This window comes from Homo sapiens, chromosome 10, assembly GCF_000001405.40.
Source record: "Homo sapiens chromosome 10, GRCh38.p14 Primary Assembly".
Lineage (NCBI taxonomy): Eukaryota > Metazoa > Chordata > Mammalia > Primates > Hominidae > Homo > Homo sapiens.
This window is the reverse complement of record NC_000010.11, coordinates 26,760,479-26,776,599: the sequence shown is the minus strand read 5'-3', so window position 1 is coordinate 26,776,599 and position 16,121 is coordinate 26,760,479. Positions and strand designations below refer to the sequence as shown.

The 16,121-nt window shown below is 35.7% G+C and overlaps 1 protein-coding gene across 30 annotated transcripts in view; it reads left to right on the top strand.

The window, feature by feature from the left end:
- Positions 1–16,121, top strand: part of ABI1 (abl interactor 1) — a 114,363-nt gene that overhangs the window by 84,359 nt on the left and 13,883 nt on the right. For 7 of the 30 annotated variants that reach the window (NM_001348031.2, NM_001348034.2, NM_001348033.2 and 4 more), the window contains 5 exons: positions 5,511–5,525; positions 6,255–6,355; positions 7,608–7,748; positions 11,282–11,382; positions 12,640–12,720. In NM_001348031.2, the coding sequence (NP_001334960.1) occupies positions 5,511–5,525; positions 6,255–6,355; positions 7,608–7,748; positions 11,282–11,382; positions 12,640–12,720 (439 nt within the window). Of the gene's footprint in view, positions 1–5,510; positions 5,526–6,254; positions 6,356–7,607; positions 7,749–11,281; positions 11,383–11,960; positions 12,721–13,790; positions 15,314–16,121 lie in introns of those variants that run through there. The other 23 variants (NM_001178125.2, NM_001178124.2, XM_047424407.1 and 20 more) reach the window with 9 other exon arrangements.

Below are 16,121 nucleotides of genomic sequence, written 5' to 3'. Positions count from 1 at the left end.
TCTCCCCCACAAAAAAACCCCCAACAGATTTTCAGGAGAGATATGATGTGTTGCCTGTGTTCATTTCTAAGCATGGGAAATTAGCTGATCTTGAAGGATACCTGTAGTGTGTCAGCTTTTTGGTATTTATGGGTCATTTTGCAAGCATTTGGAATGACCAAAATTCTTTCGCTGTCTCTGCTCAGGATAAACTATTCCTTTGAAATTTGGTAGTTCCTTTCCAAGAGGACTATTTGATTTGGATTCTGGTCTTCAGAATATTTTATAAGTTTTTAAGGGGTCAGCTAGAATCTTGAAGCTTGTCCTAGCTGATTGATCTGACTGGTGCTGTTGCTAGATCTGTTACATTCTGGATTTTCTGGGGTTCCTGGTCGAGAGAGGAGTATAGCTGACAGCATTGACCTTTATTCTGCCCCTCTCTGAGACTATTGGAATCTCCTCTTCACTTTTTATGTCTGGAAATTGTATGTAAAATTGGAACACATTGCAAATGCAGAGGTGACTGCTTGTTTATTTCTTGTGTTTTTATCCAGGGATGTGGCTAGGATTGTATAAGAGCTGAAATTCAGTTTTAATTCAAGGTGCTTTAAACTAGACTGATCTCTGGGATTGGAGTTTCGAGAATCTGGGGAAAATGTCTTTTGTGTTACTATCCACCTTGGGATTTAAAGAAAAAGGATATATTCATGCATGCATGTATGTATACATACATACCTGTATATGTGCACACACATACTTGCACACGCACACACTCGCACTCACTTCTCCCCATTTTGCCTCACCTTGATTATTCTTCCTACCAAAGCAATACATATTTATTAAAAATTTTTTCTGTCATTGTCTTAGTAGTGAATATCCTCCATTACCTTATCCCTCAACGAGTAATTGTGTTTAACATTTCAAAACATAGTACTTAGCTGAGTATAAGATGAATCCAAATTTTACAAGGAAGTTTTGGGTGAGAAAATTTAACTATTTCATCGTATATGTGTAAGTGGGAGGTGTAAACAGCATAATATATGCTGAAAGTATATGAATGTGAATTTTGGAAATCTGCTTTCTAGCCATAATATGGATACATTAGACACAGGGTTGGGGGGCTTGGTTTTTTTTTTAGATTTTTTTATTGTGGTGAGATACACATAACATAAAATGACTAACTCTTTTTAGGTGTATAGTTCTGTGACATTAAGTACATTCACATTGTTGTGCAGGCTATTTTAAAATATATTTTTGGCGAGGGATGAAGGTGCATGGTCTGTGAGAAGAATATATTTTAGAAGCTGATTATTTGGCATATTTGTCTATAGTTTGTTTCTGTGACTGAAAAATACACACATACATACAATTACTTTTCCCCAGTAGTCTTAATGCTGCTTTATTTTCTTAGTTTTGTGTTCTCTCTAAAGGATCATTGTTGGCTTAAATATTTCCAGAGCATTGTAGAGATGTGTAAAGGTAGAAATTTTGGTAGTAGTTAATGAACACATGCCAGGCCAAAATTATTAGAAGGAAAAGTTTAAGTTTATTTTAAAATTAGTGTTTTGAGGATAGTGAGACATTGCTTACAGCTTTCGAATTATTTTTGTATCTTTTGCCCACTTTTCTATTTAGAAGTTTCTTTTCTTACTGACTTGTAAGAATCCTTTGTTTTCTGTTTGAAGAGAGTAGACCCTCATATATTGGCAAATATTTACTCATATTGCTGTTTGGCTTTTGACTTTGATGTTTTCTGGTATTTAAGAAATAAACATACAGAATTTTAAAAATTATATCTAAATATATTAATATTTTTCTTATCGCTACTAGGCTTCATGCTTACGATTGCCATACTCCAAGATTAATATTCCATTGCATTTTCTTATTTTGTGATGTAAATTTTAGTGTTTTGGTATTTGTATTTAAATATATCTGGGTTTTATTTAAATAGTATTTACTGTGTTAATGCATTTTATGCTATGAAATAAACGGTACATGTTAGTTTAATAGGAATTTAAAAATATGCAAAATATCCCAAAGTAAATCTGGTTCGATTTTTGGGAATAATAATAAGATATGTATAAGAGAATCCCAGCATAGAGAAACTACCAGAACCTATTCATAAAGGAGAATGAAAAGAAGATGATCTTTGTAAGTGAGCACAAGGTTTGAGAGGAAGCTAGAATAGAGAAGGCTTGAATACTTAGCAAAGAAATTTACATTTATTTTGATGAACACTAGTAATAATTAACAGCCTGGATCATAATTTACAAAGGACTTTTCATATGTAGTTGGCCCTTTGTATCTCTAAGTTTGCATCTGTGGATTTAGCCAACCTTGGATAAAAAAATTCCAGAAAGAAAAAGTAAAAAATACGAGGACAATACAAGAGTAAAAAATAATACAAATAAATACAATATAACTACTATTTACATACCATTTACCTTGTATTAGGTATTATAAGTAATTGAGAGATGATGTAAAGTATACTGGAGGGTAGTGTTAGTTATATGCGTATACTACACCAGTTTATATGAGGGATTTGAGCATCCTTGGATTTTGGTATCCATGGGGGTCCTGGAACCAAGCCTCCTTGATATACCAAGGGATGACTGGATTACTGTGTGTTTGTGTGCTTGTTTTTAAGCTTCAAAAGATTATGTGATCTAGGAGTTGTTAGATTTTATTATTGGTCTTAAAAGATAAGCTTAGATGTGTTACTTTTTTTGGAGTTTTAGTTTACAGTGATTCATGAATCGGGCAGCTTCAGACCACAGGAGACATGAAGCAGGTAGAAGTTCAAGAAAGCAAGACAAGCAAAATATTTGATTGGTTAGAAGTTAATTGTGGTTTCTGATTAGTAAAGTTCCTAGTTAGAGGTTAGTTGGAGGTTTCTGATTAAGTTTCTTTTAATTGTGTTTTGGTTTGCCTAAGTAGGAACCCAGAATGCTGGAGCCGTCTCAGCCTAATGGTCTCAGCCTAATGGCTTTCTGATTAATTTTTTTAAAACAGTGTAGAAACTAAAGCTTTATAATGTTTACATAGGAAGATTTTTTTTTAATTTTTATTTTATAAAGCAGAGGAGTGAGTTAAGAATCATTTCAAAGAAAGAATTGGCCTTGGCTGGGTGCAGTGGCTCATGCCTGTAATCTTGGCACTTTGGTAGGCTCAGGTGGGAGGATCACTTGAGGCCAGGAGTTCGAGACCAGCCTGGCCAACATGGTGAAACCCCGTCTCCTAAAAATACAAAATTTAGCCAAGCATGGTGGCACACAGTTTTAATCCCAGCTACTTGGGAGGCTGAGGCAGGAGACTCGCTTGAACCCGGGAGGCAGAGGTTGCAGTGAGCCAAGATTGAGCCACTGCACTCCATCCTGGGCAACAGAGCCAGCAAAAAAAAAAAAAGAATTAGCATTAGACATTTAGTGCCTATGACATACAAAACTATGATGTACTTAGAAGATAGGGAGGAATCAAAGGGAATTTCAAACAGATTCCAGGCAAATGGTAAAATTACTCATCCATAAAGGTAAATGTTAAGGAAACAAAGTGAGATTTTTTTAAAAAGAGACAGGGTCTCACTGAAGTGCAATAGCTCAATCACAGCTCACAACTTTCTAGGCTCAAGTGATCCTCCCTCCTCAGCCATCCAAGTAGCTGGGACTACAGGTGTGCGCCACTATGCCTGGCTAATTTTTTATTTTTTTTTTTCAAGAGAAGGGGTTTCGCCTTGTTGCCCAGGCTGGTCTCAAACTCTTGGGCTCAAGCAGTCCACCTGCCTTGGCCTCCCAAAGTGTTGGGAGTTACAGGTGTGAGCCACCGTGCCTAGCCTGAAATGAGATCTTAAGGAAATAAAAAAGTTTCATTTTGGATATATTTTGGGGATATTTAAATAAAAAATTTTATAGATTTCTAACAAAAATATTAGTATTTTGAGGTGTAAGATGTAGAGGTTATTTCCTACTAACACTTGCCAACATTGACACATCTGCATGTCTAATAACACTTAATAGAGGAGGCCGAACTTCATAAGAGGTTAAAGCTTATACCATTGCATAGTAGCACAGAGTTCAAGTAGAATTTTCATTCCCAATCTAATTCTTCTTTTATTCTTTCCATTTGGGACCAGCTTATACTTGAATGCTAATTTTTTTGTTTCTTATCCACTTGAAATGACAAATGAAGGAAGATATGTGGACATATTTAGAATATTTTCTTGGTTATTTTAGGATAGTATTTAGTATTATGTATATACATTATAAGATATACATTGCTATGTAAGTATATACTATACATGTATAGTATATATCATAATACAGATACTGAAGTATACATTAGTGTATTTTATCTTCAAGGATCCTAATAATGTTATACTCAAAATTTATTCTCTAGATGTGAAATGTCATGGTTAGGTAGGGTACCAGATGTTGTTTCCAGATAGAAGTAAGCAGTATCATTTTAAACAAATATTGAAGTGTACCAAATTTCTCGCACAGTTTCTATAAATGAGAATGTATCCAAAAGACACCAAATCTCTCCTTTGGATGATTTCCTTTGATACTGCCTTGTGGCCACCTGAAAAATGGTAGTTACTTGTTGAGAATGTCAGATGTTATTTAAAAAAAAAAAAAGCTTGAAGCCCCCAAATCTGTAAAAAATTAGACTCTAAAACCTGAAGATATTTTTTTTTAGTGGCATTGTACAAGTAGTGATGCTTTAGGACTACACATTGTTTCATGTTGTGTAGGCTAGTCAGCTTTAATAGAAGTAGCCTTTAGGATCAAAACAACTTTTCTTCAACTTTGAATTTTGACTTAACTGGCTCAGATGAAAACTTAGAACTAAAGCTACTTAGAACTTCCTATTAGTGTTGGCCTGCACAGGATTGGGGTTCAGAAGCTAGGAATGAGAGAGTTTTCCAGACCCTGTTTGTTTATTTCTTAGTTAGAATCTGGCTAAGTTATCACTGTGCATGATGAATTTGTTTTTAAACATCGAGATACTAGGTCCTTTTTTCATTTTTGGAAGCAATCTGTGGTTTTGAATTTTAATGTTTGCAGTTTATCACTTTTTAAACTATACTACCATTGAAGTAATGAATACTCATACTTGGACATTCATTATCCAGTAAAGTGTTAGGTCTCATGCACCGATATGTTAAAATAGCTTCACATCTAATGTGTTATGGTGTTTGTATTTAAATGAGCGTATTTTTAAAATCATCTGTTACTCGGTTGGATTAGTTCCATAGGACAAAATACTGACTTAAAAAATCATTGAGCCTGCATGAGATTGGAATAATTAAGTGGTGGTTTCCTTATGAATATAATTCTTTTGAAAAATACATGAAACACATGAGTATTTCCCCAGTACGTATGGATCTCTTTTTCTTTACAAAGTAGTTGAAACATGGCTGGAAAAAAGCTTATTAACATGAATTGAGTAACTGTAAATGTAAACCTGTCCTATCGGATATAACTTACCTAGCATTAATGTCTACTTTTTCCCCCCCTTTTTTTGCCAACGTAAAGTGGCTAAAAGCCAAGGTAAGAGCCATTACTTATCATTTGATCCACAGTATTTCCTCTGTATTGATAGAGGCTGCAGAGCCACTAAAATTTGAAAACTCTTCTTATGTCTGTCTGCTTTTCCCTGTAGGATTTATGTAGATTATTTAATACTCAAGTTCAGTTCAAATAAGCAACATTTAGCTTGGCTGTGTTAATATATCAATGATATATTGACATCTGTGTTTATATAGGAACATTAATTTTGCTAACATTTATTGCTTTGCTCATTTTTCGATAGTTGCCTTGCTTTCATTGACTTACAATTAGGAGGTTTCCCAGACATCATATGTGACTTTGTTACTGAATTGTTAGGATGAAGATGATTTTTCAGATGCGTATTTGAGCAAATTGACAAGTAAGATCTATAGTTTGTGTTCATGCACACATTTCAAAAATTTTAGGAAACCCAGTGTTTGAATGCAGATAAGTTTGATCTCAGTGAACATGTTTAACAATAAAATAAGATATTAAATCCAGTCATCTCACCTGTATTTGGCTACAATGTGATATAAATGGCATAAAATAATAGGAAGACCAAGTGCAAGTGGTTCCTTGACTTTTTAAACTGTAGTACCAAAGTCTTTATTCAAACTGTCTGGGAATCCTTAATTCACATTCTGATATTTAAAAAAAATAATACATGGTGTTAAAACACCAGGAGAACAATTTGATATAAAAATAAAAGCATTTCTTTCTACATTTTAGCATGGAAATAACCAGCCTGCAAGAACTGGCACACTGTCGAGAACAAATCCTCCTACTCAGAAACCGCCAAGTCCTCCCATGTCAGGCCGGGGAACACTGGGGTAAGAATTCAACTACATTTTGCAAAAGAATTCATATGCTAAAGGAAAAGATGTTTCTGTGACTTAAGTAAGTGTATGGGATCCATGCCACACTACCCTCTCTATGTGACGCTACCTTTTACAAATTCATTTTAATTCCTATTTTCCTGAACAGAATCCCAAATGAATCTGCCAGCTTTGTAATATTCTCTATAATCTGTACTAGGAAAGTTTTTATGTATGTATAAATGGCATGATTTATTTTTTTGTCATCTAATTTTTAAAAAATATAAATCTGACTTGTTTGTTTTAAATGGAATGATTAGAGTATTCCAAATGGTGCCTTTGCATGTGTTTACAGTATCTATATTGTAGAACTTTGACTAGTGGTCTACTTTTGTGTAGTATGGCTTAGTCCACAGCTCTTCTGTTTCGCCTATTGGTGTCTGAGACTTAGGGACTCTTTACTTTAGGAAAGTATGCACTTTACTTGTAACTATGCTTCTGCTGGTAATCTTAGGCCTCTTCACACTAGAGTAGCTCCATGGGAAGGCCAGTTGGGCAAGTAGAAAAGATAACAGTGGCTTCTTCCTTCCTAGTTCTCAGTGTACTAAATATAGCGAATACTTGTCAAAGCATTATATTTCTTTAAGGTTGTTTTTCTTAATACTGGAAATATTATATTGGATTTCTTATTTTTTGGCAGAGGGGTTGTTCAACAATCAGTCTTCTTTTAAGAAGGTCTTAGTTTTCATTTTTATTCATTAAACCCTCTGCCCCTGAAAAAAAAAATGAAGTTATTAAACAGAATAGTCGAAATCATTTATTGAGAAAGTAATGATTAGAATGTATATCTCCATTTATTGCCATATTGAGATGGGAATAAATTGCAGCTTCCTATGTAAATAAATTTAGCTTCCTGTTTAAAGAACAGTGGCTTATGGGTGACTGTACTGAGAAAAATGTACATTTTAAAGTTTGCTATTATTGAGCATTTAAAAAATTATAACCATAATTTTTAGAAATAAGGTTAGGACTTTAAATTACCCTTTCCTATGTTTTTCCTAGGAAAAGGTAACAAATTTTAGTTTTCATGTTAAAGTAACAAAATTCATATATCCCAGTGAAGAATATTTTTTAAAATTACAAACTTTGTCATATATATTTTTAAATCCTGGTATACATGGTCACAAAGGGAGACTCACATATTTTTGGGAAAAATACAATTTTATCTTTTTTATTCATTATTCCTTTCTCCACTATGCTCCTTTAGACGGAATACTCCTTATAAAACCCTGGAACCTGTTAAACCCCCAACAGTTCCTAATGACTATATGACCAGTCCTGCTAGGCTTGGAAGTCAGCATAGTCCAGGCAGGACAGCATCTTTAAATCAGAGACCAAGGACACACAGGTAAGCCTTTAGGTTGAGTATCTCAACATCTCTAAAGTGGGTGTAACTGACTGGCGACAAACTCCTATGGAGGTGCTGAGTAAAGGTGAGGTGCCACTCTAATGCTAATATAAAATGTAAAAGTTGGGGGAATAATATTATATATGTTCCTGTAAGTTTGTGTTATAACTTCTGTTTTGTTTTGTTTTTTTAACTTTTTAAAACATCTATTTGTACTATTAATGGATTGTTTGTATTTCCTCCTTTTGATAGAGGTACAGACTCTATCAGACTCTACGGGTTAAGACTAAAGAATTTTTTTCTTTTTTTTTTTGTGACGGAGTTTTGCTCTCGTTGCCCAGGCTGGAGTGTAGTGGTGCGATCTCGGCTCACTGCAACCTCTGCCTCCCAGGTTCAAGCGATTTTCCTGCCTCAGCCTCCCAAGTAGCTGGGATTACAGGCCTGAGCCACCACGCCTGGCTAATTTTGAGTTGAGACGGGGTTTCTGCATGTTGGTCAGGCTGGTTTCCAACTCCCAACCTCAGGTGATCCTCCTGCCTCGGCCTCCCAAAGTGCTGGGATTACAGGTGTGAGCCACTGTGCCCAGCCCTAAGAATGTTTTAAAATGCTCTTTTAAAAAAATTCAAGGCAAACCACTCAAATACTTTTGGAGAAAAGATTAAATATCATAGGAATTATACAACGTGATTTAAACTTTCAGAGATTGAAGGAAAGAAGATTAAGCTTAAATCTGAGGGAGATTTTTTTAAGAGAATCAGTATACTAGAATATGTTGTTATAATAATAATATTATTATTATCTTTTTGGAGATGGAGTCTAGCTCTGTCACCCAGGCTGGAGTGCAGTGACGCGATCTCGGCTCACTGCAACTTCTACCACCCAGGCTTAAGCAATTCTCCTGCCTCAGCTTCCAGAGTAGCTGGGATTACAGGTGCATGCCACCACGCCTGGCTAATTTTTGTATTTTAGTAGAGATGAGGTTTCACCATGTTGCCCAGGCTGGTCTCTAACTCCTGACCTCAGGTGATCCACCCACCTCGGCCTCCCAAAGTGTTGGGATTACAGGCATGATCCACCGCTCCTGGCCTTGTATTTATTATTTTTAAATGTCCTAAAAGTCAATTACCCGGTGGGTTTTTAAAAATTTAGTTACAGAGCATAACAAGCATTCAGAAAAGTATCCACTTCAGTAAGTATACAGCTTGATGAATGGACACACACTCATATAACCATCACCCAGATCAGAAAATGGAACATTACCAGCAACCCAGAAGCCCCTCATGCTCCTTCCTGGTTATCGCCTCGACCTTCTTCCCCCAAAATATAGCCACTTCAATTTTTGAGTGCTTTATAAAACCAGATAAATTTATTATATAACCAAATTTGTTTTATTCTTCAGTTTTCTCTCTCACTTAATAACGTGGGCAGGGAACCTCTCTTTTGCCTTCACTCTTAGGTTGGTAAATGAGAGATAACTTATCAAAATGATTTATGGGAATTCCACTAAATAGGGTATATCAAGATGCGAGATGCTAGGTAAGCGGTATTTATTACTATTGGTGCTGTTAGTAAACAAATTGTTAAGTTGATATCTGCAGTTACTGTATCAGGTCAAGTTCTTTGAGGAACAAAATTGTTCTCTTTGTTGTTATTGAACTCTTGGATCAAAGTATAGTTTTTCTCTATAGTGGAAGCATAGTTTAATCATATTCAACAAGCAGTTATTAAGTGTTGTTTCATTAGATACTAGGCATTTGTCAATAGGGCATAGTTCTTTTTTCAAGAGCTCATTCTGTTAGAACAGGGATCAGCAAACTTTTTCTATAAAGGGCCAGATTGTCAATATTTTAGGATTCGTGGGCCATATATATGGTTTCTGATGCAATTACTCAGATCTGTCATTGTAGCACAAAAGCAGCCATTGACAATACGTAAATGAATGTGGCTGTGTTCCAGTAAAACTTTATTTATAGCACTGACATTCTAATTTCATATAATTTTAATGTGTTACAAAATATTATTCCTCTTGATTTTTTTAACTATTAAAAAATATAAAAAACATTCTTAACTCACAGGTAGTAAAAATCAGGCAATGGACCAGTTTTAGCCCACAGGCCATAATTTGCCAACCCCTTGTTGGAAAAAAGACAGTAATTGAAGAGGAGCATAATAAGAGCATAAATATTCATATGTCTATGATGCAGTGGTAGCACAAAGCTAAGTATTGATCACCTGGCTTGAGGGAGTTAGGGAGGTCTTCACATCTAAGCTATGTCTGTTTTATAAATGACTTTTTTCTTTTTCTTCCATTAACATATGATAATCTAATTATAGAATGATCATATTGCAGAAGAAAATAAAAATCTTATCCAGGCATTGCAAATCTTTGCCCTTTGAATTTCTGGGCTTATTGAGCAAATTATGTAGATTTTAAAACATAATATGGAGCCTAAGGCTGCATGTGCACAAATATATGTTTTTACACATGTACACACATTACTATAAACAACTGGATGGCACAAGATCTTATACCTTACTAGAAACAACTAGAGGGAGCCAGGTCCTAGAGCTAACAGGACAGTACATCCACAGGAAGTAGAATAGCGAGGAGTTGGTTAGAGTTTATCAGTAGCAACTATTCCAGAATGTCCACACTGAAACTTCACTATTGTCTTTCTTTGTCGTTATGCTTATTTTCCAGAAAATTTCCCTATGTTATCACCTTTCTTTGAGATGAGAGGAAGTTTCATATTAATTTTAGACTAGAACGGAGTACCCTTTTAATTTACTTCCACATCATTTGTACTTTCTCTTTTGTTGTATCTATTACATTACCTTTTCATGTCAGTTTTCCCATTATGAACTTCAGATGGTGTAGTTCATGACTGCATTGTTCACTGCTCTTCATAGCAGGTTTTGAATAAACAATTGTTGACTCGTACTATAAGATTTTGTTGGTGATAAATATTTCAACAGAGATGGTTTTAAGTACTGTGTTATCATTATATTGGTTCCAGATAGGTTGAGAAGTAGAGGAAACCATTTCAAATATTAGGATTAAGATTTGTGATGAATAACTTAAAAATTTCTTGTTACACACACACCCCCACCCACCTGCACCCACCAACCCTCCCATTGCCTACCACTTTCCCTCCCACTCTCCCTCCCACTCTCCCTCCCTCCCTCCCTCTCTCCTTTCCCTTCCTCCCTCCCTCCTTCCCTTCCCCTCTTCCTCAGGTTCTGCATCCCCAGAGTAAGGCAGTCTCGGGTTGAAAATACAGTATTCATGGGATGCAGAACCTGTAGATAAGGAAAACCAATGTTTCATGTCCACTGGTTCTGTAGGGCCAACTGCAGGACTTGAACATCCATGGGTTTTGGTATCCAAGGGGGCTCTTGAAACCAGTCCTCCAAGGATACTGAGGGATGACTATATGACATAAAAGGAGTATTTAGTGGCCTTGGGTGATTACAGTTTTTTTTTAAATATGTCTCTAGAATTGGTTTTTCACAGTTTTTTTTTTTCTTTTCAGTGGAAGTAGTGGAGGAAGTGGAAGTCGAGAAAACAGTGGTAGCAGTAGTATTGGCATTCCCATTGCTGTGCCTACACCTTCGCCACCCACTATTGGACCAGGTGTGTTATTTATTAATCTATGTTTAATACATGATAATATTTATGAGCTTTATTGTGGAAGGCTGAAATAAATTAGTCATATTGAGTAAAATTATTAATTAAATTTGTGATCGTTGCTAGAATAAAGGCTGATAACAAAGTTAACAATATTTTTAGATTGCTTTTCACAAAGTCTTTAGGATTTCACCAGCTGTTTCTCCTTATATATACTGCATATTAAGTAGTTTTGTTAAATAACTTTTTGTTGGCCATTTTGCTTTAGAAATATATTCATTCCTCAGTGTCCATGGGGGATTGGTTCCAAGGTCCCCTGCGGATACCAAAATGCATGGATGCTCAAGTCCTTTCTATAAACTGGTGTAGTATTTGCATATAACCTACACACATCCTCTCATATTCTTTAAATCATCTCTAGATTACTTGTAATACCTAATAAAATATTAAGTGCTACTTAAATAGTTATACTGTATTGTTTAGGGAATAGTGACAAGAAAAATAAGTCTGCACATGTTCAGGACAGATGTAGCCATCTATTTTTTTCCCTGAAATATTTTTGATCTATGGTTGATTGAATCCAGGGATGAGGAACCCATGGATATGGAGGGCTGACTGTATTTGCCTCGCATACTAGTCAAGAATGACATTTATTATTTCAAGAGCAAACCAGTATTGTACGATACTCCAGCTGGAGAATCAGTGTCTATAAAGGTGAATTATGTTTCTAAGAGTTTTAATGTTGCTTTACAGGCCAGTATCTACTCTGGTGTTTGCTTATTTTGTGACTTTACTACATTTATCTATGATATTCAATATATATTTCAGTAAAATGCAATAAATGTAAAATAAAATTAAGATAGGAAAGTTACTTTTAGAAAGCATGAAAATTTAAGAAATCCTTGGAGAGCATTGAATTAGCCCCTTGATTTTTAGTAAATGAAATGGAGACTTTTTATATTGTTAAAAATGTATATTTTTAAAGTATGATAATGAAAAATGTTAGGAAAGAAATTCTTAGCTTTTCAAGCATATTTTTGAAAAAGGAGAAAAAGCCACTTATAAACATAGGCATATTTGATAGTTAAGGCAGGTATAAACTCGGTAGCCTCTTTATGTACAAAATTCATACTCATTTGAGCATGCTTTACATGGGGGTATCTTTTTTCTTTTTCTTCCCGATACATTGTACTTTCTTGCTGTTTCAAAATGTTGAGTTTTCTTTTCTTGTACTCTGACCTGAATTATAAACTATTTTATTAGAAAACATTTCTGTCCCTCCTCCTTCTGGAGCTCCACCAGCACCACCTCTGGCACCACTTCTCCCAGTGAGCACTGTGATAGGTGAGATTGCATAGCCATTGGAGCCATTGAACTCACTTTACATAATTCATAATAAACTCCTCTGTGCTAGTAGAGTGCTGGCTTTTATAGTTATTAGGTTGCAGGTGATAATACAAAGTTTAAAGTATTAAATCTAATATCACTAACTTCTGGTGAAAGGCTTCTGCACTTATACAGTAAACAAATATAAAACAACTTTTTCTATAATATGAAATGCTTGGTTTATAACCAACTTAATGTGTTTTTAATTTGTTGTTTGTTTAGATTTTTCTAGTCTAATCCCCCCTGCCCCGCACAAGTGAAACTTAATTTGGAACTCTCTGGTATATACAACAGTCAAAGGATCAGGGTGAAGGTGGGGACAGGAGGAGAAAAATTGAAAGGCAAACGATATGTGTGGGATGGGGTACTCTGAGGCTTTCCTGTGGATCATAGTTTGAAAAACTCTGATATGGCCCAGTTTTTATGACATCTCAGGATGCCATGAAATAGTTTTCTCGATAAAATGCATTTAAATTGTTCACAAGTTGGGGATGACTGAACTGAGCATATAAGGAATTTTAAATATATTTTAAATGTCAATGTAAAAACCATTGAGTCTAGAAATACACAATCACAGTAATCTGGGTAGAAATGGATAATGAGGTGTTTCAAATAATGAGAGCTGAGTTTCAGGTTAAGTGAAATAAAGCTGTCTAACAACATCTTTTCCAAACATTTGCACATACCAAGGAAAAGGGAGAAAGGAGGTAGTAAAATGAAGACCCTAAGAATAGAAATTGTTGGTAGAAAATCTGTGAGAAAAAAATAGCCTCAACCCAATTAATAACCAGAAGAATTAAAATTAAAACCACAGTGAGATACTATTTTATATCCAGCAGACAGGTAAAAAGGTAGAAGTTAGCTAGTACCAGTGTTGGTGAGGATGTGTGTTGGTGAGGAAAGCAAATTGCTGGTGGGAGTTTATTAATGTATACACTCACTTCAGAAAGTAATTTATTGATACCTAGTCAAGTTGAACATGTACCTACCCTAGATTTATCAATTTCATTTCTACATATTTACCCTAGAGCACTAGTTCTCAAAATATGGTTAAGGGACCCCTGAGGATTACCAAGATCCTTTCATGAAGTTTTTGAGGTCAGAGCTCTATTCATTATTTGTCCTTTTCATTCTCATTCTGTTATAACTATACGGTAGAATTTTCTAGAAGCTGCATGAAGTATGATAAAGTCATTGCTTTGACTCCTAATGAAATGTGTACTTGTGTATTCATATGTTTTAAAGATATATCAGTTTCAGTATCTAATATGGTAATTATCTACAGCTATAACCCATGTCAACAAAAGGCTTTTGGGGTTGTCTAAGAGTGGACCCTAAGACCAAAAAGTGTGAAAACTGCTGTCCTAGAACAGTGGTTTTCAGAGTGTCATCCCCAGACAATCAGTATCTGAGAATTAGTTAGAAATACAGATTCTCAGGTCCCTTCTAGACCTGCTTCAATCGGGAAACTCTTGAGGATGGGAGTTTCTGCTGTTATAATACAGCAGTCTATATTATAACAAGCTGTAAGGCTGGGCACAGTGGCTCACGCCTCTAATCCTAGCACTTTGGGAGGCTGAGGCAGGCGGATTGCTTGATCCAGGAGTTCAAGACCAGCCTGGGCAACATAGCAAGACCTCATCTCTGCAAAAAATACAAAAAATTTAGCCGGGCATGGTGATGCATGCCTGTAGCCCCAGCTACTTGGGAGGCTGAGGTGGGAGGATGGCTTGAGCCTGGGAGGTGGAGGTTGCAGAGAGCTGAGATTGTGCCACTGCGCTCTAGCCTGGGTGACAGAGTGAGACCCCATCTTAAACAAAACACAAGGCTTCAAGAAGAAATACTGATCAATGATGAAGTTTGAGAACCACTGTCCTAGAGATTCAGGAATTATATTTAGGAATGTTCGTAGCAGTAGTATTGATAGCACAAATCTCAAACCAAAATGTCTAATAGTAGTAGAATGGATAAATAAATTATGATATATTTACATACAAATAAAATAGCAAAAATGAATGACATTGATATGCATAGCCACATGGATGAATTTTTGAAAATATTATCAAGGAAAAAGAGCAATTCAACAATATGTACAGATTGATTCCATTACAAAAGTTTATAAATTTGTAAAAACTGTGTGTATTGTTTAAGGTTATATATGTGTATGTGTGTGTGTATATATATATATATATATATATATATATATATATATATATATATGACAAAAACTATTTACAGAAGAAAGAGAATGTTTAACATACACCTTGTGGGGGTTGGAATCCAGGAGAGGAGCACACAGGAAGCCTCAGTGATCTTGTTAATATTCGATTTCTTGAGCTGTATATTATTTAAATTTTTTTATACACACATGTATGTGTATAATTCACATGTATAACATATAATTATGCATATAAGTCACACACTCTTTGGCATTATTTATTTTATGATAAAATGTTAAATTCTAAAATAGGCTCAGAATTGCTAAATGATTGGCTTTTGTTCTTGAATCACCAATAAAAATAACTCGATTTCTGTACACTTTTTTATACAAGCCGGAGAAATGTAAAATCCTTTTACAGAGATTTCTATTAAAAATGGTTGGCTGGGAGTGGTGACTCACACCTGTAATCCAGCATTTTGGGAGGCCAAGGTGGGAGGATTGCTTGAGCCCAGGACAAGACCACCCTGGGCAACATAGTGAGACTCTGTCTCTACAAAACATAAAAAATTAGATGGGTTTGGTGGCACTCTCCTATATCCCCAGCTACTCAGGAGGCTCTGGTAGGAGGATTGCTTGAGTCCAGGAGGTTGAGGCTTCAGTGAGCTGTGATCCCACCACTGCACTCCAGCCTGGGCGACAGTCAGACTCTTTACCCAAAATAAAAAAATAAATTAAAAAAAAAACAGTTAAAGGCTTACTCTTTTTTTTTTTTTTTTTTTTTTTTTTTTGAGATGGAGTCTTTCTCCGTCACTCAGGCTGGAATGCAGTGGTGCTGTCTTGGCTCACGCAACCTCCATCTCCCGGGTTCAAGTGATTCTCCTGTCTCAACCTCCCGAGTAGCTGGGATTACAGGCATATGCCTCCATGCCCAGCTAATTGTTGTATTTTTAGTAGACACGGGTTTTCGCCATGATGGCCAGGCTGGTCTCAAACTCCTGACCTCAGGTGATCCGCCTGCCTCGGCCTCCCAAAGTGCTGGGATTACAGGCATGAGCCACTGCACCTGGCCCTTAAAGGCTTATTTCTTGGCTCTCTGGAAAAACCTAGCTGTCCAAAATTACTTATTCACGAAGGCTTTTGAATAGACAATTATTTTTAAACTGTTTCTATTTAGAAAATGAGCATGTGGATGATTCAA